Raw genomic sequence first — 26,890 nt, 5'->3', positions numbered from 1 at the left:
GGCTGACGTAACTGGGGCGACTTAGCTCTGCCTCATGAATTTCATCCACTAGCAGCCTAGCCTTTGTATGTTCTCATAAGAAGGCAAGGGAGCAAGGGAGGAAGTGGAAATATTGTAAGCACTTTCTAAAGTCCAACATTCCATTAGCAAAATCACATGTCTAAACTCATAATCAATAAGTTTCCAAAAATGATCATTTCTTAGAAAGAATTTTGAAAAGATAATGATGGAAAAAGGAGGACATCTCAGATAGTATAACCAAAAGCTGGAGATGAAACAGTTCTACTCTCCAATTTAGTAATTCCAGACTCCTATATATTACCTTTAACTTCCGCTTGCAAATAGCAACCCTCAATCAACTTCCTTACAGTACTTTAATCTAATGCAGTTAAGTGCACAAGGTGGTGCTTTCTACATTTTGCCTGAAGACATTCTAAGCCAAAAGTTCATAAGGTACAATATTTTGTTTTCCAATGTACTATAAGCAGCTTTTTTTTCCTTTTACCAAATATTTCATAAGAACTTCTTAAAGCAGTTTCCTCATTGTTACTCCAGCCTCTGCTAACAGTTTTCTGAGCCCTCTACTGCCCAAAAGCCTAAATACCACATATTTGGGGTTTTGTTGTATAGCCCTCCACTTTTATGTACCAACTTTTATAGCTATTATCTATTACTGAAATAACACCACAAAACAAATAACCACACATTTTATTCTGTGGACTCAAAAAGAATATGTTACATCATAAAATGACCAAGCTAATCCACTCTCTCAATAATTTGTAAGCTGTTAATAATTGTTTTGTACATAAAATAAGCTTCACAATCTTCAATTATATCAACATTTTTCTTTGCAATAATAATCACAAATTTAGACTCTGATGAAATCACAAGAAAAGCTTATGAGATTTTATTAGGTAACATCTAGAATGTTTACCCATAGTTGAAAGTACATATTCATGATGACAGGATCAAAATGTCCCATACCAATATTAACTTTGAATGTCAACAGTCTAAATGTCCAACTTAAAAGGCATAGATGTCTGGTGCAGTGGCTCACACCTATAATCCCAACTTTCTGGGAAGCCAAGGCAGGAAGATCACTTGAGCCCAGGACTTTGAAACCAGTCTGGGCAACACAGTGCAATCCTGTCTCTACAAAAAATAGCAAATTAGCCAGGCATGGTGGTACATGCCTGTAGTCCCAGCTACTCAGGAGGCTGAGGCAGGAAGATTGCATGAGCCTAGGAGTTCAAGCCTGCAGTGAGCTATAAGCACAGCACTGCATTCCAGTCTAGGCAACAAAGGAAGACCCTGTCTCAAAAAAAAAAAATGCATAAAATGTCAAGTTGGATAAAAAATCAAGACCCAACTGTCTGCTGTCTTCAAGAAACCCATCTCACATTAATGACACACAGAGGCTCAAAGTAAAGAGGTGGAGAAAGATCCATCATGCAAATGGAAAACAAAAAAGAATAGGGGTCATTATTTTTGTATCAGATAAAACAGACTTTAAATCAAAAACAGTCAAAAAGAACAAAGAAGGGCATTATATAATGACAAAGGGTTCAATTCAACAAGAAGACTTAACAATCCTAAATATATATGCGCCCAACATTGGAGCACCGATTCATAAAACAACTACTTCTAGACCTACAAAAAGACTTAGCCACATAGTAATAGAGACTTCACCACCCCACTGACAGTGTTAGACAGTACATTAAGGTAGAAATTAACAAAGAAATTCTGGACTTAAAGCAAACACTTGACCAATTGGACCTAATAGACATCTATAGAATATTCCACCCAGCAACCACAGAATATACATTCTTCTCATCCACACACAAAACATACTCTAAGATCAACCACATACTTGGCCATACATAAAGCAAGTCTCAAGAAATTGAAAAAAAATTGAAATCACCAAGCACACTCTCAGACCACAGTGCAATAAAAATAGAAATTAATACCAAAAAATCTCTCAAAACCATATAATTACATGGAAATTAAACAACTTGCTCCTGAATGGCTTTCAGGTAAACAATGAAAGTAAGGCAGATATCCAAAAATCTTTGAAATTAATAAAATAGAGACATAGCATACCAAAATATTTGGACGCAGCTGAAGCAATGTCATAAGAGTAAAGTTTATAGCACTAGATGCCTACATCAATGTTAGAAAGATCTCAAATTAATAATCTAACATTACATGAAGAGGAACTAGAAAAACAAGAGCAAACTGACTGCAAAGCTAGCATAAAAAAATAAATAACCAAAATCAGAGCATAACAGAATAACACTGAGACCCAAAAATCCATACAAAAAGATCAATGAAATCAAAAGTTGGTTCTTTGAAAGAATAAACAAGATTGATAGACCACTAATCAGATTAACAAAGAAAAAAAGAAGATCCAAATAAACACAATCAGAAATAAACAAAGATGACATTACAACTGATCCCACAGAAATACAGAAGATACCCAGTGACCATTACGAACACCTCTATGCACACAAACTAGAAAATCTAGAGGAAATGAATAAATTCCTGGAAGCATGCAACATCTCAAGATTGAACCAGGAAGAAACTGAAACCCTGAACTGACCACTAATGAGTCCAAAATTGAGTCAGTAATAATTTTTTAAAAAAGCCCTGGACCACATGGATTCACAGCTGAATTCTATAAGACATATAAAGAAGAGCTGGCACCAATCCTACTGAAACTATTCCAAAGAAAACTGAGGAGGAGGGACTCCCCACTAACTCATTTTATGAAACAAACATCGTCCTGATACCAAAAACTGGCAAAGACACAACAAAAAAAGAAAACTTCAGGCCAATATTGCTGATGAACATTGATGCAAAAACCATAAACAAAATACTAACAATCTGAATCCAGCAGAACATCAAAAAGTTAATTAACCACAATCAAATAGGCTTTCTTCCTGGGATGCAAGGTTGGTTCAACATATACAAATCAATAAATGTGAATAAATTATTATGTTGAACCAACTTTGCATCCCAGGAAGAATTAAAAACAAAAGCCACATGATCATCTCAATGGATCCAGAAGAGGCTTTTGACAAAATTCAACATCCCCTCATGATAAAAGCCCTCAACAAACTAGGCATCAAAGGAACATATGTCAAAATAATAAAAACCATCTATGACAAATACACAGCCAACATTATACTGAATGGGCAAAAGCTGGACGCATTCCCTTTGAAAATCAGAACAAGGCAAGGATGCCCTCTCTCACCACTCCTAATCAACAGTACTGGAAATCCTGGCCACAGCAATCAAGGAAGAGAAAGGAATAAAGGGTATCCAAACAGCCAGAGAGGAAGTCAAACTATCCCCGTTTGCAGACAATATGATTATATATCTAGAAACCCCCATAATCTCTGCCAAAAAGTTCCTATATCTGATAACTTCAGCAAAGTTTCAGGATACAAAATCAGTGTACAAAAATCAGTAGTATTCCTACATACCAACAACATCAAAACTGACAGCCAAATCAAGAACACAATCCCATTCACAATAGCTACAAAAAGAACTAAATGCCTAGGAATACACATAAGCAGGGAGGTGAAAAATCTCTACAATGAGAATTACAAAACACTGTTCAAAGAAATCAGAGATGACACAAATAAATGGAAACACATTCCATGCTCATTGATTGGATGAATGAATATCATTAAAATGGTAATAGTGCCCAGAGTAATTTACAGATTCAATGATATTCCTATCAAACTACCAATGTCATTTTTCACAAAATTAGAAAAACTATTCTAAAATTCATACAAAACCAAAAAAAAGCCCAAATAGCCAAAGCAATCCTAAGCAAAAAGAACAAAGCTGGGGACATCATATTACTTGACTTCGAAGTATAATGTATTATAAGGTTACAGAAACGAAAATAGAAAGTTACTGGTTAAAAAACAGACATATACACCAATGGAGCAGAGTAAAAGAACTCAGAAATAAAGCCACATACCTACAACCATCTGATCTTTGTCAAAGTTGATAAATGTAAGCAATAGAGAAAGAACTGCCTATTCAATACATGGTGCTGGGATAACTGGCTATCCATATGCAGAAGAATGCAACTGGACCCCCACCTATCACCATACACAAAATTAACTCAAGATGGATTAGACTTAAATGTAAGCCATCAAACTACAAAATTCTTAGAAGAAAATCTAGGAAACACCCATCTCGATATTGGCATTGGCAAAGAGTTTATGGCTAAGTCCTCAAAAGCAATTACAATGAAAACAAAAATTGACAAGTGGGACCTAATTAAACTAAAGAGTTTCTGCACAGCAAGAGAAACTATCAAAGGTGTAAACAGACAAGCTACAGAATGGGAGAAAATATCTCCAAACTATGCATCCAACAAAGGCCTAATATCCAGGATCTATAAGGAATTTAAATCAACAAGCAAACAACAAATAACCCCATTAAAAAGTGGGCAAAGGACATAAACAGACACTTCTCAAAAGAAGACATACAAGCAGCTAATAAACATATGAAAAAAATGCTTATCACTAATTATCAGAGAAATGCAATCCAAAATCACAATGAAATACCAACTCACACCAGTCAGAATGGCTTTTGTTAAAAAGTCAAAAATAACAGGTGCTGGTGAGGCTACAGAGAAAAGGGAATACTTACACACTGTTGGTGAGAATGTAAATTAGTTCAGCCACTGTGGAAAGCAGTTTGGAGATTCCTCAAAGAACTGAACAATCATTCAACCCAGGAATCCCACTCCTGGGTATATACCCAAAGGAAAATAAATGATTCCAGCAAAAAGACACATGCACCCATATGTTCACTGCAGCGCTATTCACAAGAGCAAAGACATATGAACACCTAGGAATCAACCCAGGTGCCCATCAATGATATACTCGATAAAGATAATATGGCATATATACACCATGGAATACTACACAGCCATAAAAAAGAACAAAGTCATGTCCTTTGCAGCAACATGGATGCCACTGGAAACCATTATCCTAAGCAAAAAACACAGAAACAGAAAATCAAATACTGCGTTTTCTCACTTATAAGTGGGAGCTAAACATTGGGTATGCATGGATGTAAAGATGGAAACAACAGACGCTGGGGGGGAATATAAGGGAGAAGGAGAGAGGGGATCAAGGGTTGAAAAACTATCTATTGGATACTATGCTCACTATCTGGGTGATGGATTCATTTGTACTCCAAATATCAGCATCATGCAATATATCTCTGTAACAAACCTGCACACGTATCCCTCAATTCTAAAATAAAAGTTAAAAAAAGAAAGTGAATATTCAGATGTTAATAATAAATCTAAATGTGATGCCCTATTTTTATGGCTAGAATCATTAATCCTGATTAGATATGATGTAAACTATGTGAGGAACATGATAATTTTGTGCACAATTTCATGGGATGCCACAAATTGATGCTGATGTAGTTATTTGATTATTCGGCCACCCAAACACCAAGGAAGTGCATACTAAGGCTAAACCTAAACTTTGGTGCATCTTTAGTAAATATACAGATTCTGTGAGTGTGTACCTCCCAAGTTTTTTTCACTGCTAGGGTGTTATATCAAAAAAGTTGATGACAATTGAAGTAGAACACTATAGTCTGGCTAAGCCTAAATAGATGAAATATTCTTCTGTCAACATCACAAATTGTTCTGTCTCAGTATACATGTATCTACATAGGTTTGGTTTAGATAAATCAACTATTGGCTAAACTTTATTAGAATACAAGTTGGTAATTTGAAACAAAAAGGAATGACCACTATGACACAAATATACTATACTGACCACTTTTTAAAATTCAATAGTAATTTCAATAGTAATTCAATAGTACTTTCTTAGTGAAGCAGAAGCCATGTTTCTTCATTATTATTATTATTTTATTGCCATTTCTGATGGCTAGCAAAAACAAGGATATGTGAGTCTTCTTTTCTGTGTTCCAGTGTCCAACTACCAGACTCTTGTGTGCCAAGAGGTAGATGCATCAACAACAGAGGCAACAGCAGCTTCTCAATTCCTGGTTCCTTATCACTGGGTTACAATTGTCAGTAACTTCTCCAGCTTTCCAGATTTCAAGAAGAAGTGGCAGGGTGGCAGCATACTGATTTCACTTTCTTCAATTCATAGTTCTACAACAGATCCAAAAGAAATAGCTAGACTGGGCACAGTGGCTCATGCCTGTAATCCTTCCTAGCACTTCAGGAAGCAAAGGCAGGAGGATCACTTGAGGCCAGGCATTCGAGACCAGCCTGGGCAACATAACGAGATCCCATCTCTACTTTTTTTTAATAAAAAGAGCTTATCTGGTGGTTGATTCTGTATAGTTCTCAGATTCATTTCTGGCGGCCAAACCTAGAACTCACTCCTTCAGCTTCTCAATTATTTTGTAAGCATTTAATTCACTACACTAAATTCCTTCTTACTTAAAATATGTACACCAGTTCCATTTTCCTGACTAATACATTTGAAAAAAAGCTTATAGTTTTCTCAAAAGCTTTTAACATATTTTTAAAAGATTTTTTCAATATTTGAGGACTTTAGTATATCTAATATATAATAAATACAACTTAGAAAAGAAAGGGCGGACACCCAAATATCACCAAATTGTGAGAACCTGACCACTATGTATCAAAAGTGTAACACTCTTTGTGAACTAAAATTGTTAACATGAATCAATTTTATAAAACAAGGCTGAAATGCAGAGCATACCTTTCTCCCAGAAAAAAAAAAAATAGTAGGTAATACTGTGAGGTAACAGGATAAGAGAGAATTCCACACTATCCTTATAACTTATTTACAAGTGGTGGTAGTCTGCAAATAAGAAAACAAAAAATGATTAAATCTAAGTTTGAAGATAGGAGATAAGACTTTGGACCCACAGAAGGTGAGTAACTAGAATGTGACAGCTCAGGAACCTTGAAGGACTATCTTCTCAGTAAAACAGCGAACTAGAAAAAAATAATCCAACCATAAAAATAAAAGAAAACAGGGGTCCGCTACAAGATGGCTGAATAGGAACAGCTCTGGTTTGCAGTTCCTAGTGTGACTGATGCAGAAGACGGGTGATTTCCGCATTTCCAACTGAGGTACCTGGTTCATCTCACTGGGACTGGTTGGACAGTGGGTGCAGCCCACGGATGCCAAGCCGAAACAGGGTGGGGCATCACCTCACCTGGGAAGCACAAGGGGCCGGGGAATTTCCCTTTCCTAGCCAAGGGAAGCCCTGACAGACTGTATCTGGAAAAACGGGACACTCCCACTCAAATATTGCAGTTTTCCAATGGTCTTAGCAAACGGCGCACCAGGAGATTATATCCCAGGCAAGGCTCAGCAGGTCCCATGCCCATGGAGCCTTGCTCACTGCTAGTGCAGCAGTCCGAGATGGAACTGCGAGGTGGCTTGGCATGCCTCGCTGGGGGAGGGGCATCCACCATTGCTGAGGCTTGACTGCGTAAACAAAGTAACCTGGAAGCTCAAACTGGGTGGAGCCCACCGCAGCTCAATGAGGCCTGCCTGCCTCTGTAGACTCCATCTCTGAGGGCAGGGCATAGCTGAACTAAAGGCAGCAGAAACTTCTGCAGACTTAAACATCCCTGTCTGACAGCTCTGAAGACATGGGACATCTCCCAGCACGGTGTTTGAGCTCTGAGAGTGGACTGACTGCCTCTTCCCTGACACCCACGTAGCCTAACTTGGAGACACCTCCCAGTAGGGGCCAACTGACACCTCATACAGCCGGGTGCCCCTCTGAGACAAAGCTTCCAGAGGAAGGATCAGGCAGCAATATTTGCTTTTCTGCAGCCTCCGCTGGTGATACCCAGGAAAACAGGGTCTGGAGTGGACCCCCAGCAAACTCCAACAGACGTGCAGCTGAGGGATCTGACTGTTAGAAGGAAAACTAACAAACAGAAAGGAATAGCACCAACATCAACAAGAAAGACATCCACACCAAAACCCCATCTGTAGGTCACGATTATCAAAGACCAAAGGTAGATTAAACCACAAAGATGGGGAGAAACCAGAGCAGAAAAGCTGAAAATTTTAAAATCCAGAGCACCCTTTCTCCTCCAAAGTATCACAGCTCCTTGCCAGCAATGGAACAAAGCTGGAGGGAGAATGACTTTGACGAGTTGACAGAAGTAGGCTTCAGAAAGTTGGTAATAACAAATTTCTAGGAGCTAAAGGAGGATGTTCAAACCCATTGCAAGGAAGCTAAAAACCTTGAAAAAAGATTAGACGAATGGCTAACTAGAATAAACAGTGTAGAGAAGACCTTAAATTACCTGAAGGAGCTGAAAACCATGGCACAAGAACTACGTGATGCATGCACAAGCTTCAGTAGCCGATTCGATCAACTGGAAGAAAGGGTATCAGTGATTGAAGATCAAATGAAAGAAATGAAGTGAAAAGAAAAGTATAGAGAAAAAAGAGTTAAAAGCAATAAACAAAGCCCTCAAGAAATATGGGACTATGTGAAAAGACCAAATCTACATTTGATTGGTGTACTTGAAAGTGACGAGGAGAATGAAACCCAGCTGGAAAACACTCTTCAGGATATTATCCAGGAGAACTTCTACAACCTAGCAAGGCAGACCAACATTCAAATTCAGGAAATACAGAGAACCCACAAAGATACTCCTCGAGAAGAGCAACCCCAAGACACATAATTGTCAGATTCACCAAAGTTTAAATGAAGGAAAAAATGTTAAGGGCAGCCAGAGAGAAAGCTCGGGTTACCCACAAAGGGAAGCCCATCAGACTAACAGCGGATCGCTCGGCAGAAATTGTACAAGCCAGAAGAGAGTGGGAGCCAATATTCAACATTCTTAAAGAAAAGAATTTCCAACCCACAATTTCATATCCAGTCAAAGTAAGCTTCATAAGTGAAGGAGAAATAAAATCCTTTACAGACAAGCAAATGCTGAGAGATGTTGTCACCACCAGGCCTGCCTTACAAGAGCTCCTGAAGGAAGCACTAAACATGGAAAGGAACAACCGGTACCAGCCACTGCAAAAACATGCCAAATTGTAAAGACCATCGAGGCTAGGAAGAAACTGCATCAACTAACGGGCAAAATAACCAGCTAACATCATAATAACAGGATCAAATTCACACATAACAATATTAACCTTAAATGGAAATGGCTAAATGCCCCAATTAAAAGACATAGACTGGCAAATTGGATAAAGAGTCAAGACCCATTGGTGTGCTGTATTGAGGAGACCCATCTCACGTGCAGAGACACACATAAGCTCAAAATAAAGGGATGGAGGAAAATCTACCAAGTAAATGGTAAGCAAAAAAAAAAACAGGGGTTGAAATCCTAGTCTCTGATAAAACAGACTTTAAACCAACAAAAATCAAAAGAGACAAGGCCATTATATAATGGTAAAGGGATCAATTCAACAAGAAGAGCTAACTATCCTAAATATATATGCACCCAATACAGGAGCACCCAGATTCATAAAGCAAGTCCTTAGTGATCTACAAAGAGACTTAGACTCCCACACAATAATAATGGGAGACTTTAACACCCCACTGTCAATATTAGACAGATCAACGAGACAGAAGGTTAACAAGGATATCCAGGACTTGAACTCAACTCTGCACCAAGCAGACCTAATAAACATCTACAGAACTCTCCACCCCAAATCAACAGAATATACATTCTTCTCAGCACCACATCGCACTTATTCCAAAACTGACCACATAGTTGGAGGTAAAGCACTCCTCAGCAAACGTAAAAGAACAGAAGTCACAACAAACTGTCTCTCAGACCACAGTGCAATCAAATTAGAACTCAGGATTAAGAAACTCACTCAAAACCGCACAACTACCAGGAAACTGAACAACCTGCTCCTGAATGACTACTAGGTACATAGCGAAATGAAGTCAGAAATAAAGATGTTCTTTGAAACAAAGACACAATGTACCAGAATCTCTGGGACATATTTAAAGCAGTGTGTCTATAGAGGGAAATTTATATCACTAAATGCCCACAAGAGAAAGCAGGAAAGATCTAAAATTGACACCCTAACATCACAATTAAAAGAACTAGAGAAGCAAGAGCAAACAAATTCAAAAGCTAGCAGAAGGCAAGAAATAACTAAGATGAGAGCAGAACTGAAGGAGATAGAGACACAAAAAACCCTTCAAAAAATCAATGAATCCAGGAGCTGGTTTTTTGAGAAGATCAATTTTGTTGATCTTTTCTTGCTAGCTAGACTGCTAGCAAGACTAATAAAGATGAAAAGAGAGAAGAATCAAATAGATGCAATAAAAAATGATAAAGGGGATATCACTACCGATCCCATAGAAATACAAACTACCATCAGAGAATACTATAAACACCTCTACACAAATAAACTAGAAAATCTAGAAGAAATGGATAAATTCCTGGACACATACATCCTCCCAAGACTAAATCAGGAAGAAGTTGAATTGCTGAATAGACCAATAACAGGCTCTGAAATTGAGGCAACAATTAATAGCCTACCAACCAAAAAAAGTCCAGGAACAGATGAATTCACAGCCGAATTCTACCAGAGGTACAAAGAGGAGCTGGTACCATTCCTTCAGAAACTATTCCAAATAACAGAAAAAGAGAGAATCCTCCCTAACTCATTTTAGGGGGCCAGCATCATCCTGATACCAAAGGCTAGCAGAGACACACACAAAAAAGAGAATTTTAGACCAATATCCCTGATGAACATTGATGCAAAAATCCTCAATAAAATACTGGCAAACCGAATCCAGCAGCACATCAAAAACTTATCCACCACGATCAAGTGGGCTTCATCCCTGGGATACAAGGCTGGCTCAACATACGTAAATCAATAAACATAATCCATCACATAAACAGAACCAATGACAAAAACCACATGATTATCTCAATAGATGCAGAAAAGGCCTTCGACAAAATTCAACAGCCCTTTATGCAAAAAACTCTCAATAAACTAGATATTGATGGCACGTATCTCAAAATAATAAGAGCTATTTAGCACAGACCCACAGCCAATATCATACTGAATGGGCAAAAACTGGAAGCATTCCCTTTGAAAACTGGCACAAGACAGGGATGCCCTCTCTCACCACTCCTATTCAACATAGTGTTGGAAGTTCTGGCCAGGGCAATCAGGCAAGAGAAAGAAATAAAGGGGGCTGGGTGCGGTGGCTCACGCCTGTAATCCCAGCACTTTGGGAGGCTGAGGCGGGCGGATCATGAGGTCAGGAGATCGAAACCATCCTGAGTAACACAGTGAAACCCCGTATCTACTAAAAATACAAAAAATTAGCCAGGCGTAGTGGCAGGCACCTGTAGTCCCAGCTACTCAGGAGGCTGAGGCAGGAGAATGGCGTGAACCCAGGAGGCAGAGTTTGCAGTGAGCAGAGATAGCACCACTGCACTCCAGCCTGGGTGACAGAGCGAGACTCTGTTTCAAAAAAGAAATTAAAAAAAAAAAGAAATACAGGGTATTCAATTAGGAAAAGAGGAAGTCAAATTGTCCCTGTTTGCAGATGACATGATTGTATATTTAGAAAACCCCATCGTCTCAGCCCAAAACCTCCTTAAGCTGATAAGCAACTTCAGCAAAGTCTCAGGACACAAAATCAATGTGCAAAAATCACAAGCATTCATATACACCAATAACAGACAAACAGAGAGTCAAATCATGAGTGAACTCCCATTCACAATTGCTACAAAGAGAATAAAATACCTAGGAATCCAACTTACAAGGGATGTGAAGGACCTCTTCAAGAACTACAAACCACTGCTCAATGAAATAAAACAGGACACAAACAAATGGAAGAACATTCCATGCTCATGGATAGGAAGAATCAATATCGTGAAAATGGCCATACTGCCAAAGGTAATTTATAGATTCAATGCCATCCCCATCAAGCTACCAATGACTTTCTTCACAGAATTGGAAAAAAACACTTTAAAGTTCATATGGAACCAAAAAAGAGCCCACACAGCCAAGACAATCCTAAGCAAAAAGAACAAAGCTGGAGGCATCATGCTACCTGACTTCAAACTACACTACAAGGCTACAGTAACCAAAACAGCATGGTACTGGCAGAAAAACAGAGATACAGAACAATGGAACAGAACAGAGGCCTCAGAAATAACACCACACATCTACAACCATCTGATCTTTGACAAATCTGACAAAAACAAGAAATGGGGAAAGGATTCCCTATTTAATGAATGGTGCTGAGAAAACTGGCTAGCCATATGTAGAAAGCTGAAACTGGATCCCTTCCTTACACCTTATACAAAAATTAATTCAAGATGGATTAAAGACTTAAATGTTAGACCTAAAACCGTAAAAACCCTAGAAGAAAACCTAGGCAATATCATTCAGGACATAGGCATGGGCAAGGACTTCATGTCTAAAACACCAAAAGCAATGGCAACAAAAGCCAAAATTGACAAATGGGATCTAATTAAACTAAAGAGCTTCTGCACAGCAAAAGAAACTATCAGCAGAGTGAACAGGCAACCTACAGAATGGGAGAAAATTTTTGCAATCTACCCATCTGTCAAAGGGCTAATATCCAGAATCTACAAAGAAGTTAAACAAATTTACAAGAAAAAAGCAAACAACCCCATCAAAAAGTGGGCAAAGGATATGAACAGACACTTTTCAAAAGAAGACATTTATGCAGTCAACAGACATATGAAAAAATGCTCATCATCACTGGTCATCAGAGAAATGCAAATCAAAACCACAATGAGATACCATCTCACGCCAGTTAGAATGGCGATCATTAAAAAGTCAGGAAACAACAGATGCTGGAGAGGATGTGGAGAAATAGGAACGCTTTTACACTGTTGGTGGGAGTGTAAATTAGTTCAACCATTGTGGATGACAGTGTGGTGATTCCTCAAGGATCTAGAACTAGAAATACCATTTGACCCAGCAATCCCATTACTGGGTATATATCCAAAGGATTATACATCATGCTACTATAAAGACACACGCACATGTATGTTTATTGTGTCACTACTCACTATAGCAAAAACTTGGAACCAACCCAAATGTCCATCAATGATAGACTGGATTAAGAAAATGTGTCACATATATACCATGGAATACTATGCAGCCATAAAAAGGATGAGTTCATGTCCTTTGTAGGGACGTGGATGAAGCTGGAAACCATCATTCTCAGCAAACTGTCGCAAGGACAGAAAACCAAACACCACATGTTGTCACTCATAGGTGGGAACTGAACAATGAGAACACTTGGACACAGGGCAGGGAACATCACACACCAGGGCCATTGTGGGGTGGGGGGATGGGGGAGGGATAGCATTAGGAGAAATACCTAATGTAAATGACTAGTTAATGGGTGCAGCAAAGCAACACAGCACATGTATACACATGTAACAAACCTGCATGTTGTGCACATGTACCCTAGAACTTAAAGTATAATTAAAAAAAAAAAAAAGAAAAATGAACTGGGAGAGAGGTGGAAGTATCATCTGAGAATGCATGCCTGCAGTCTGCCAAGATTTGAGGTTTAATTTGCAAGATAAGAAATTAACAAAATAGTCCAAGTGCCAGCAGAAGCAAGTGCAAATATTTCCTGGAGTGACACATCCTCATCCAGACCTTGCAGGAGTTCCACAAATAAAGGCTAGCAAACATGAACACACACTCCAAAATCACAGAGCACATGAGGAAAAATGCCAGCATGTGAGTAGTCAGCAGAAATAATAAATAAGACAAAGAATTATAGTCCCCCACCAAATAATTCAAATATTTGTATTACCTCATATAGAATAAAAATGACTTTGTTGAAAATAGTAATTAAAATAAAACATGACAGTTTTAACACAGACAGTGTAAGAAAAAGTGCAAGCGGATTTTTAAAAGAATTGAGTTTTCTACCATTCTGTCATTCTAGGAATAATGCAGAACAATCTAGGTAGTTTAGGCAGAAAGGGGTGAATTTATTACAGCTAATTAGGTACTTAGGGCATTGTTGGAAAAGTGGGAAGGGCAGATTCTAGGCTCTTGGGGATGCCTCCAAGTATACTATGTAGGTGTCCTACCATGAGAGCTTCTACCTTTAAGTCTACATTGGAACCATTAAATGCAAGACTATATATCACAGCTGTAATTCAAATAGCAATACATCATTACTTTTGCTTTCACAAATACTGGACATCCACAAGCTGATAACCCACAGGGCTAATTCCACATCAATGATGTGATGCTAATGGGACTTGGTAAGGAGAAGTGGGTGAAAACTAATTGAGAAACATTTGCAACAACATGGATGGAACTGGAGGTTGTTATGTTAAGTGAAATTAGCCAGGCACAGAAAGACAAACTTTCCATGTTCTCACTTATTTGTGGGAGCTAAAAATTAAAACAATTGAACTTGTGAAGATAGAGTAGAAGGATGGTTACCAGAGGCTGGGAAGGGTAGTGGAGGTGGGTTGGGAGAAGTGGGGATAGTTAATGGGTACAAAAAATAATTAGAATGAATAAGACCTAGTATTTGATAGCACAACAGGGTGATTATAGTTAATAATAATTTAATTGTATATTTTTAAATGACTAAAAGATTATAAGTTGATTGTTTGTAAACACAAAAGATAAATGCTTGAGGGGATGGATACCCCATTTACCATGATGTGATTATTATGCATTGCATGCCTGTATCAAAGAATCTCATGTACCCCTATAAATATACATACCTACTATGTACCAACAAAAATTAAAGACTAAAAACATTGAGAAATTATCTCCTCAAATCCAACAAAAGGTTGGAGTTTTTTTCTAGAGAATTGTAAAAGAGTAAAACTCTTTTTTTACTCTCCTCTAGAGGACAGTAAAACAAATGGTCTCTGAACTAGAGAATGTTTGGTTTAGTTGAGAATCTAGGAAGTATACTAAGAACAGGAAGATTAAATGAGTATACATATTGAATGCTGAGATTTCTAGTCCCTTTCCCCACATTGTTCCTATAACACAGCCAGCCAGACAGACAGACATTCATAATCTAAGTAAGATATTTTAATCATCATATTTGATAAACATAACCAGCCCCAAAGGAAAGATCTAATGATACGGACATCAGGAGTTCCCCCAACAATGGCCTAGCCAGATCATCCTGTATGTAACTCAAAGCTGACAAGTCCTACCCAAGCTATCAGAGCTTCCAGTCATATTTTTAGTCCCACATTCTTAAACAAATAAAAGCAACTTCAAGAGAGACTATACAGTATAAGGAAATCTTTGGAAGTTTTACCACATCTTTAGAGATGAGAAGATACTGTATCTGAGAAAAAATGAACAAGAACAGGGTGCTATGGAAATAAACATTTAGAGAATAAGGAAGAACTTTTTAAAAAAGTAAAATAAAAACAAAATAGCAGAAATGAAAAGTCAGCAAATGAGGTGAGCCCTACAATTGCCTTAGCTTACTGCCTGAAGTTTCCAGGGTGCAGCCCTGGAGGAGAGAAGCCAGAGAGAGCCCAGCAGTCTCTGTGAATTAAGGACCTGGGAGTCTGGAGGCACGAACAGCTAGAGTTCAGAATTCAGATAGCTGCAGAAATCTGCAGAAAATACCCCTTAAGTCCTCAGTTGAGTATTGATTATTATATGCATATGAACTCTGAGAAAGAAAGCACCTGAAAGAAGCAGAAGGAGCATCACAATGTAAAATCCAATGTATGGTTTCTCCTGAATGTACATTGTTTTTGCACCATTATGAAGTTGAAAATTTTTAAGTTGAACTATTGTAAGTCAGGGAACATCTGTATTCTGTGTGCACTTTAACAAAATGTTTTGCTGTTGTGTGGACTTTTGTATAAATGTCAATTGTTCAGGTCTTCTGTATCCTTACTGATTTTTTTTTGTATGTTCATTTTAGCAATTATTGAGAAAAAAGTATTCAAATCTTTGTGTGTGTGTGTGTGTGATGGGAGTTTCACACTGTTGCCTGGGCTGGAGTGCAATGGCACAATCTCAGCTCACTGCAACCTCCATCTCCCAGGTTCAAGTGATTCTCCTGCGTCAGCCTCCCGAGTAGCTAAGATTACAGGTGCCCGCCACCACGCCCAGCTACTTTTTGGTATTTTTAGTAGAGACGGGGTTTCAGTATATTGGCCAGGCTGGTCTCGAACTCCTGACCTTGTGATCTGCCCACCCTGGCCTCCCAAAGTGTTGGGATTACAGGTGTGAGCCACCACACCCAGCCTCAAATCTCTTAACTACAATTGTGGATATTTTTCCCCTTGCAGTTTTATCAGCTTTTGCTTTATGTATTTTGAGGATGCATTAACATTTAGGACTATTGCATTCTCCTGATGAACTGACTCGTTTATCATTTTGAAATGATTTTCTGATTAAATTCCTTTGCTCTAACAAGCAGTTTTCCTGTTGAAAGCTATTACATCTTTCTTTTGATTAATGTTAGACTCGTGTCTTTTATCCAATTTTTACTTTTAACATATTTGTCTTTATTTTTTAAAAAATTTTATATACACAGCAGACAGTTGGGTCCTACTTTTTCATGCAATCTGATAATCTCTGCCCTTTAATTGAGGTTTTTAGATCATTTATATTTAACATGATTTTGATATGACTTAAATGTACCAACCTACTATTTGTTTTCTATTTTCCCCATGTGTCCTATTCCTCTTTTCTCTCCTTTTAAGCTTTTTTTGGGGATTGAATTTTGTGGCTTTTTATTATTCTATTTCTTATCTTCTTTACTGGCTTATTAATTAAAACTTATTTTGCTATTTCAGTGGTTATTTTAGGGTTTATATTATACATCTCTAACTTATCACAGTCTGTCTTCAAGATGTAACCCACCACTTCATGTTTAGTTTAAGGGCCTTACAATAATATACTACCATTTCTATACTTAAAATTATATACTTCCCCTCCTGGCCTTTGTACTGTTACATTTTACTCCCACATATATTGTAATCCTACAATATATTTTTAATAATTTTTATTTTTGTTTTATATAGCCAACTTTTAAAAAGACACTTAGAAATAAGAAACAAAAAAAGCTTTTAAATATACTCATATTTCTGGTGCTCCTCATTTCTGTGTGTAGATCTGTATTTCCATCTGGTGTGCTCTTCCTGCCTGTTGGACTTCCTCTAATTTTATGGGTAATGTAGGTCTACCGGGCATGAGTTCTTTCATATGTATGCCTTATGTTCTTATTTTCCTTTTTTTTTTAAGATATCTAAGTTAACCAACTTTTCCCCCACTTCTTTACTTTATTTGAGGATGTCAGACCACTGTCTTCTGGCTTCCAATATTTTCAAAATTGTTGGCTTTGCTTGTTTTTCTGCAATAGTATGTCTTTTTCAAGGGATGGTGTTTATCACTGGTTTTAAGAGCTCTGATTAGGTTACTCCTTGGTATAGTTTTCTTCACGTTTATTGTACCTGGGATTTGCCAAGCTCTTTGGACCTGTGGGTTTATAGTTAACCTCAAATTTGGAAAAATTTCTCCATTGTTTCTTCACATATTTTTTACATCTCCCACCCTCTTCTCTTCTTTGGGGACTTGAATAAGACATGTATTAGCCTGCCTGAAGTTGTCTCATAGCTCACAGATGCTGTGTTTATTATTTTTTCTCTGTTTCTTTCTGAATAATTTATTGCTCTGACTTCTAGTGCACTAATTTTTTCTCCAGCAGTATCTGCTGTTAATTCCATTCGGTGACTGATATGCAGTATGATACTTACATGAGATATTCAACATTTTATTATAAAACAGGCTTTTTTTGTTTTGTTTTGAGATGGAGTCTTGCTCTGTCACTCAGGCTGGAGTGCAATGGTGGGATCTTGGTTCACTGCAACCTCCACCTCCCAGGTTCAAGCGAGTCTCCTGTCTCAGCCTCCCCAGTAGGTGGGACTACAGGCGTGCACCACCACGCCCAGTCAACTTTTTGTATTTTGGTAGAGACAGGGTTTCACCATGTTGCCCAGGTTGGTCTCGAACTCCTGAGCTTAGGCAATCCACCAGCCTCGGCCTCCCAAAGTGCTAGGATTACAAGCATGAGCCACCACGCCCGGCCCAGGCTCTGTCAACAGGCTTTGTGTTACACTACTTTGCCCAACTGTAGGCCAACGTGAGTTGCTCTGAGTATGTCTGAGGTAGGCCTGGCTAAGCTATGATGTTTCATAGATGTATTAAATGTATTTCACTCATGATATTTTCAATTTACAATGGGCTTATCTGAGCATAACCACATTGTCAGTCAAGTCATACCTATATTTACTAAAGTAGATCACTTTGGGGCCATAATACATCTCAAAACTTATTTTAAAAGATTCTGTAGTAGGGCCAGGGGTGGTGACTCACACCTGTATCTCAGCACTTTGGGAGGCTGAGGCGGGCAGATCACGAGGTCAGGAGTTCAAGATCAGCCTGACCAACATGGTGAAATGCCATCTCTATTAAAAATACAAAAATTAGCTGGGTGTGGTGGTAGGTGCCTGTAATCCCAGCTACTCGAGGCTGAGGCAGGAGAATCACTTGAACCCAGGAGATGGAGGTTGCAGTGAGTCAAGATCACACCTTTGCACTCCAACCTGGGCGACAGAGCGAGACCCCATCTCAAAAAAAAAAAAAAAAAAAAGATTCTGTAGTATAATTGGTCTGGTCTTCGTTCAGGGTTCCTGGACACCAAGCTCCTAAAACCCATGGAATTTCCTAAACAACAGAAGTGCCTTCATTATTCATGGTAAGCCCTGACACTGTATGCTAATGATGTGACCCACAGTGGGCCCTAGACAGCTAATGCTAAAAAGATGATTTAGGATGGAGGTAGCTCACTTCAAAAAAACAACCATGATTAGGGTGTTGAGACTTTGAGCCAGCCTGATGTCCAGACAGAGGAGGGAAACTGGAGATTAAGTTCAAGCACACAGTAAAGGTTTTAATAAATCATGCCTACGTAATGAAACCCCAAAGAAAACTCTGGACTTCTTGATTACTTGATATGTTTTATTTCTTGACTTGGACAGTTACATAGTTGTTACAATTACTCATTAACATGTTCATTTATGTTTATGTACCTTTCTATATACAGATTTTAAAATAGAAGTTTTTTTAATATTGAAAACAATCCAGATTTGATGGAAGACACAAATCTGCAGATTCATAATGAACCTAAATCCATGATAAATCTATAGCTAGACATATAATAAAAACTGCGTATCTCCAAAGTAAAAGATATTATCTTAGAACAGCTCAAGAGATGTCAGTTCTAAATCTACAGCTCTAAGGACATAATTTCAGAAGGTATAAAGAATTCTACCTAGAAGGAACATCTGACACACAAGAAAAAAGGTAAGCCCCCACCATGTCCCATCAAAAAAATAAACATTGACTATATAAAATACTAATAATATCCAATTTGGAGATTTAATAAAGAACTTGTGGAATTTAATTAGAATTAATGTTATTTCAATACCTTTGTGTTGTTTGGAAAGAGGGTAGCATTTTTAGATGTTTAAGGATAATCAAAAGGACTTGTAACATTCACATTCCAAATCAGTAAAGGGAAAATATATGATTAAATAGAAAACCCAACTGATCCCAAAAGATAGGAGGAGAGATAAAGGTGGGAAAGAAGCACAACATAGAAAAAGAAATATATTAAAAAATAAGATGGCAAAAAATAAATCCAAATAAATTTGTACTTTGGCACTACAGTGGAATAGATACTTTTTAGAGTTCTCCTAGTACAAAACACTAGATCTTGGAGAAAAGAGACCTCTTAATTCATTGCTGGTTTGTACCATATAAGGGAAATCTCCAGGCCTACACTCAAGACAGAAACCCCCTCTACACTATACACTCAAGAGAGAAACAGAAAAAATAAAAATAAAAATACCCTCTACATTCAAGACAGAAACAGGAAAAAAAAAAAACAACAACAAACTCGAGCTGAAACAAAAGCAAGAAAGCAGCAGAAAGCATCAAGCAAGAAGCAAGCTTGAAAGATGGGGTTTATCCCTGGAGGCAGATAGCTAACAGCATCTGCCTGTTAGTTTGGAATTGACCTGCAGAGACAAAACCTTCGGCTAGTAGTAAGGGTCAGGGAGCTTACACTTAAGACAAGGCATTCAATCAGGATCCACAAAGGTGAATAGAGTATGCCAAGGAGTTTGTACCACCTCACCCAGAGAAGCAACGAACTCAAATCATACTGAAGGAAAACATACACAATTTAGGCCCTCTGTCTTCTCGCAGATTAACACATACTCAAGGAAATAAGTCACAATGATATGCAATAATAACCTTAAATGTAGACTTATAAAGACTTAAAATATTGAAATTATCAAAAATATCATATATTTGACTTTTAAAAATTAGAAACAGACTTACAAGGGACTGTAATGAGTAAACGGGAAGTTAAAAAGAATCAAATGAAAAATATATTTATTGAAATTAAAACCATCATTGTTTTAAATAGCAGGTGAGATGCTACTGAAAAATGAACTAGTAAACAGAAAGATAGAGCTGATGAAATTACCCAAAATGCAGTAAAGAGAAACAAGAGGATGAAAAATATGAGAAATTAAGAGACATGAAGGATACAGTAAGAAAGTCTATCATTTGTATACAGTCCTAGAATAGAGAAGAAATATTTGAAGAGCTAGTGGTTGAGAATTTTACAGAACATGAATTAAAAGATACAGGAAGAAGCCAGTATATACTAAGAATAAAAATAAATTCGCACTTCCAAATAATACAGTAAACCTGCAAAGCACCAAAGAAAAAAGAGATAATCTTAAAAACAGAGAAAAAAGATCCCATAAAAAAGTTGATTCTGAGGCCCAAAGATGTTGAGACTAACTTAAAACCACAAAATAAGTAGCGTAACTGTGACATAGCCCGTACATTCTCAATCTATGAAATGTATTTTTAACTATTTTGCTTTCTCTTTTTAAGCTGGCCAAAACCATTTACTTTGTTTTCTTAGCCATTTTTTCTTAAGCCCCTTCTAGCTGTCCAAGGTCCTGAAATCATTACAAGGACTATAAAATGTTTTAATGATTTACAAAAAGTTATATACCCTTTTCATAAGTTTAATTACCTTACTGGAATACTCATGTAAAAAATACTATGTTCCTTGATTCAGAGTACTAAATATTTGCATGGTGAACAATTTCTGATGTTCTTGCTTCAAGTTACTGTTCCTGATAACCTCAAACTACCTATTTACAATCCTTCGTGTTAGCATATTTTCAAATTCCAAGGAATCCAAAACTAAGTTAAAATTTCAGAGCTGGGGCCAGGAGCAATGGCTCACACCTGTAATCCCAGCACTTTGGGAGGCCAAGGTGGAGGATCACCTGAGACCAGGAGTTCGAGACCAGCCTGGCCAATATGGTGAAATGTCATCTCTACTAAAAATACAAAAATTTGCTGGGTGTGGTAGGGCATGCGTGTAATCCCAGCTACTCAGGAGGCTGAGGCAGGAGAATTGCTTGAACCTGGGAGGCGGAGGTTGTAGTGAGCTGGGATTGCGCCACTGTACTCCACCCTGGGCGACAGAGTGAGACTCTGTCTCCAAAACAAAAAAAGAAAGAAAAGAAAATTTCAGACCTAGAAGAAAGTATTTTTAAGCTACTCTTTGGTTCATATTTGTGTACTTTATTTTTAAAGTCTCTTCTTTAGATTATATGTGCAAAAATTATAAACTTGAGACCAGGATACTCCCATATTGGTGCTGAGGGATACTTTAGTATATTCTATAAACATCCTCTATGTCTTGCAAATTATATAATACATTCTCAATCTTATATCCAATTTTTAGTTTAGCAGGCAAAAGAGGAAGGCAATAACAATGGGAGAAAGAGGACATCCACCAATTTAGTAATGGTCTATATTTGTGGTTGTTATGACAACCTAATATCATCTCCAAATGTAGGGAAGATACAAAAACATCTCAGTGCTTTTAGGCCCTTCAAACTAGCTAGAAAGAAATGGACTTCTTCCATTATCCAGTATGCTTATAGGCCCATCACCTTGCCTTTCTGGTGTCCATCTTTCCCTTAATTTACTTGCACGGAGAGTTCCTTCTACCACTGTTCTCTATAACATATACCCTCCTCTCACTTTAACTCCCCACCCTGGCCCTAGCCAAACCATTCATTCATTCAATGTTTATTGAACGGCCTTTGTGTGCTGTGTATTGTGGTAGATTCTTGGTGTATGAAGAAGCATTAATTGAATATAAATTGCTTTGGTATTTTAAAAGTCAACATACTAAATGTAATGTAGTACTTTAGTCAAAACTATCTATATTTTTAATAGGTTAGTTGGCAGTAGGATTTGCTATTCAGCCTAAGAGGCTGAATTTGAGATATTCCACATTTCACAGGAAAAAAAAAAAAAAAATGTGTCCTTTACCATATCATTGCAACGATTTGGCTATTTTTTATATATAAACATATACATCTCCCCACCAATTCATGAAAAATATTCTATGTTGACCATGATATTCTTTTTATTGAAAAGTAATATAAAATGGCTTTAGACATAAAAGATAGTATTTTACATTATTTCTTCTGTTATATTTTTACGCTTTGTGCCAGAATTTACTTCTTGCAACTATTCTTGCTTTATCTGGAACAGTTTACTCCGTTATTGAATATCTATTAGTGTTTAATATAGAAGAGCTTAATAAACCGCTAATCCGAAAATAATGGTATTCCCTTGCTTTTCAGACCTTTTTGCTGAATATGCTTATTTATGTCCAATGTGGAAATCTGATCCTGCTCTCTTCCACTCTGCCAGCAGTTCCTTTTGTACTGCTTCTGGTAGTTCATAGAAAACTTGAGGATCAATGTCAGAAGGGAAAGTAATTTTCTCATCAACAGAATCTGGCTCTCTATTTTCTGTAAGTCCTTCATGAGAGTCTGTTGCTACTGTTTGCTTATGGCTATCTGTAGTGTGGTTTCTGGAGAAAAGTTGCTCACTCTGCAAGTTTGGAAATGAATGAAAAGCAGACACAGCAGGGTTTGAATTTGTAAAGTGGAATCCTTGAGGTTCTTTAGGTCCTTGACTTATTCGTTCATCTTTTAATCTATTATCTAAATAATATGAATAATCCTTTTGGCTAGACATGTAAGAAGAACTACTGCTATTAAAGCCTGATGTTCCCGGTTCACAAGGAGATACAGAGGATACCTGTTTGCTACTGGATAAATGATCTCTAGGATTTATGGGAATATCTTGCATTTGTTTTTTAGAAAAGAAAGATAATACTCCTCTAGAGGCATGTAATGGACAACTCACACTTCCTTTCCCTTGAAATTTTTCCCTAGATTTTCCAGAAAGGATTTCTTCTTGAATATCTACTGGAAGCTGCTTGAAGACTTCTTGGTCAACACCTTCAGGAAGTGAACAGAGTGGGAATTCATTAATGTCTTTTTCTTTAGAAAAATTTGTGGTATCTAGTGGAGACTCCCTAGTTCTTGTACTTTCAATTCTTCCACTTGGTAGGAAATCCCGGTTTGTTTCTTTGTCTTTGGGAAAATCTTCCATATGAGTGTCTTTCATTTTCTAGAACACAAGAATAACAGACTAATTTACATATCTGATATCTTTTAAATATCGCTGCTGCTGCTGTGTGCCTGTAGCTATTATCTGACATGTTTCTAACCTACTCAACAAATACAACTCTTTGTGGCCAGTTCCAAACAACTAGAGATCTACTACCACAATTATTCACACTATTTTGTGAATCTCTACCCACTATTCCAGGAAGAGGTTTCCTTCCTAGATAGCACTGAGACAGAGGTAAATATGCATTTGGAGACCTGGGAAGATTGTAACAATCATGCAACCAAACTTTCAATTCTATAAATAAAAGAATGGCGGCCTAGAAAAGCAAGTTCACCTAAGGGTATTTTTCAAAAAAACATACACATATAGCATCAAGGGCTAGTTTTCCAAAAATTACTATTCTAAAGGGTAACTTTTAACAAAAAGAAAAAAAAAGCCTATAACAAAACCCAACATCATCAAGATATAGTACTAGTTTATATTTATATAAAATAAAAATTTAAAGACACTTTCAACTCTAACTTGCATAATTTTTCTATACAGTTTTTCATTTAAATCCTTTAGTTTCAAGCACCATAAAAATATAAACATAGTCAAATATAACTCCGTAAACATCAACACAATATGAACTCCAAAAAAGTAAAAGTAGTAGAAAAGATTCAGGCCCTTATATTTATTGACTACCTACTGTGTGACAAATACATACAAGGTACTTTCACTTATATTTACTTTTCTAATGCCACTATAAATGAGCACTTTTAATTCCAATTTCACAGATTAATTAAAATGTAAAAAGAAAACACTTTTTTAAATTTAATAAATGGAATAAGAAGGGTCACAGAAAAAAGTAATTTGAAGAGAGCATTAATTCACTATTTCCATACACTATCCTGTTCTCACTTTAAACTTAAATGAAAATGAAAAGGTTACTAAAATTATACTGACTAAACAAACACAAAAGTATTTTAAATTGAGTTAATTATAGGCATGAACAATTTAGTAAAAAATAATTGTTTTTAAGGCAACCCACATTTACTAAATAGTGGTTTGTCTATTAATAAAAGGGTTTTGTTTTAGTCGTCTGAAAATGTGACTGGCCTCTGCCTTTCTATTGCCACACTGTTAACTTTACAACTATGAAATCAGTAGTCAAATCTATCAATATTGCTATCAAAATTCAATACTATTTCAAAATGAAGAAAATGTAAATACTTTAACAAAAGAATCATGGGAAAGGTACTAGTAGCTCATGTGTCAGCTAAAAGACAAAAAGATGTGATTTCTAATATCTGCAAATATTTTAATACTTATGAGCTAATCCATCATATTTTTATATACTATAAAATGTGTTAACAATTCCAAAATAGAGAACCTCCATAATGGTTCTCTCTTTTATCCAGTGATGCTTATGTTTTCTTCTTAGATCACAGCATATTTAAGGCCAGAAACCATAAGATAGGTATTATAAACAAGTTAATCACCTAAACAATATCACCCAAAAGAATCTCTAAACTATATCAAAAAGACAAGCACTTAGATTTGTAATGTAACCACACAAATCCCATAAGAGTATACTTAGAAAACTGAACAAAAAAGAGTGTACTTACAAAACTGTGCTTGCCAGAGCGTGAAGTAGTTGATAATGATGGCATTAAATAATAATCAATAAGCCCTTTCTTAGCAGTATTTAGTGCTTTAAGGTTGCAGAAGCACACACTTAGAAGGGTAAGGTGAAATGGCATCTTCACATTCACCATATTTCGAAAAAGTTTCATAAGTATATCAACCATTGGGGTCATCACATCATAATTTCCTAAATAAAATGTTTAAGAATAAACATTATAATTAATATTAAGAGCATAATATATTTTATATTGCTGAGATTAAGAAATTAAAATCCTAAATATCACTGGGCATCTTGACATTATATACCAAATTAAGACATTTCAATATTAATACTAAATGGTTAAAAATTTTCAAAAGATTTGAAATATGGGATTTCTGGTTATACTACACTGATATGGTCAGAAAATCCTCTCTCAAAAAGCTACTATAAAACTGAACAACATTGTCAAAAACAATCATTTTGGTGGAAATCTGGAAATGAACCAAAGGCAAACAAAGTGAGAAGTACTGATCTATGAACAGCTGCTATATGTTAGCTAAGAAAGTAGGAGATAGCAGCTTCACTGTCTGGGACTGTTCGAATGTCCCTTTACATAGCTCAGTTGGTACAGGGTGAAGGCTGCAAAAGCCAGCAGTTTCACTTCCAGAGGGGACAGACCTGATTTGAGGCAGTGGGCAAAAGCCCACACTCAGCAGTGTTGCCAGTAAAATGAGCAAATTTGATAGGAAACGAATGGGAAGATCCCACAGCTCTGCTAGTCTGAAGCTTCAGTCGTGGTTCGGGTGAAGGACAGATCAGTGGACCAGCCAGATATGTCACCAGGAGATTTGGAAATGAGAGAACCAAAGAGGGACTACATAGGCTCCCCGTACAACCCTAGTTGACTAGGAGGCTACATGCAAATAAATGGAAGGCCACAGAGGGCCCAAGCTCCCCATACACTCCTTACTGAAAGGGCTACATGCACATCATGGGGAGATAAAGAGGGCCTAGCAGAAATTAAAATTCAAGAAAAACTTGAAAATGGCCTAATTTTTTTTCTTTTATACTTTAAGTTCTGGGGTTCATGTGCACAATGTGCAGATTTGTTACATAGGTATACATGTACCGTGTTAGTTTGCTACACCTATCAACTCTTCATTTACATTAGGTATTTCTCCTAATGCTATCCCTCCCTCAGCCCTCCATCCAGATAGGCCCCGGTGTGTGATGTTCTCCTCCCTGTGTCCATGTGTCCTCGTTGTTCAACTCCCACTTATGAGTGAGAACATGTGGTGTGTGGTTTTCTATCCTGGTGATAGTTTGCTGAGAATGATGGTTTCCAGCTTCATCCATGTCCTTGCAAAGGACATGAACTCATCCTTTTTTATGGCTGCATAGTATTCCATGATGTATATGTGACACGTTTTCTTTATCCAGTCTATTACTGATGGACATTTGGGTTGGTTCCAAGTCTTTGCTATTGTGAATAGTGCCACAATAAACATACGCGTGCATGTGTCTTTATAGTAGCATGATTTATAATCTTTTGGGTATATACCCAGTAATGGGATCACTGGGTCAAATGGTATTTCTAGTTCTAGATCCTTGAGGAATCACCACACTGTCATCCACAATGGTTGAACTAATTTACACTCCCACCAACAGTGTAAAAGTG

General features: G+C 37.2%; 1 protein-coding gene across 18 annotated transcripts in view, besides 1 other annotated feature; it reads right to left on the bottom strand.

The window, feature by feature from the left end:
* POLI (DNA polymerase iota) overlaps window positions 1-26,890 on the bottom strand; it is a 51,788-nt gene that overhangs the window by 4,015 nt on the left and 20,883 nt on the right. For 14 of the 18 annotated variants that reach the window (NM_001351613.1, NM_001351610.1, NM_001351616.1 and 11 more), the window contains 2 exons: window positions 25,214-25,419; window positions 19,018-23,603 (listed from right to left, as the gene is read on the bottom strand). The exons of 3 other annotated variants lie outside the window; for them this stretch is intronic. In NM_001351613.1, the coding sequence (NP_001338542.1) occupies window positions 22,785-23,603; window positions 25,214-25,419 (1,025 nt within the window). In that variant the 3' untranslated portion in view covers window positions 19,018-22,784. Of the gene's footprint in view, window positions 1-694; window positions 6,164-19,017; window positions 23,604-25,213; window positions 25,420-26,890 lie in introns of those variants that run through there. One more of the 18 variants, XM_005258192.5, reaches the window with a different exon arrangement.
* Window positions 7,398-7,948: an enhancer, noted in NCBI's record as "H3K4me1 hESC enhancer chr18:51835674-51836224 (GRCh37/hg19 assembly coordinates)". NCBI's record gives its function as "activates a minimal SCP1, AML or CMV promoter by ChIP-STARR-seq in primed H9 embryonic stem cells {active_cell/tissue: H9 hESC(primed)}" and the evidence as "EXISTENCE:reporter gene assay evidence [ECO:0000049][PMID:30033119]".

Source organism: Homo sapiens, chromosome 18 (assembly GCF_000001405.40).
Source record: "Homo sapiens chromosome 18, GRCh38.p14 Primary Assembly".
Taxonomy (NCBI): domain Eukaryota; kingdom Metazoa; phylum Chordata; class Mammalia; order Primates; family Hominidae; genus Homo; species Homo sapiens.
Note: the sequence above shows the minus strand (reverse complement) of the source record. Positions and strands in the feature narration are given on the sequence as shown.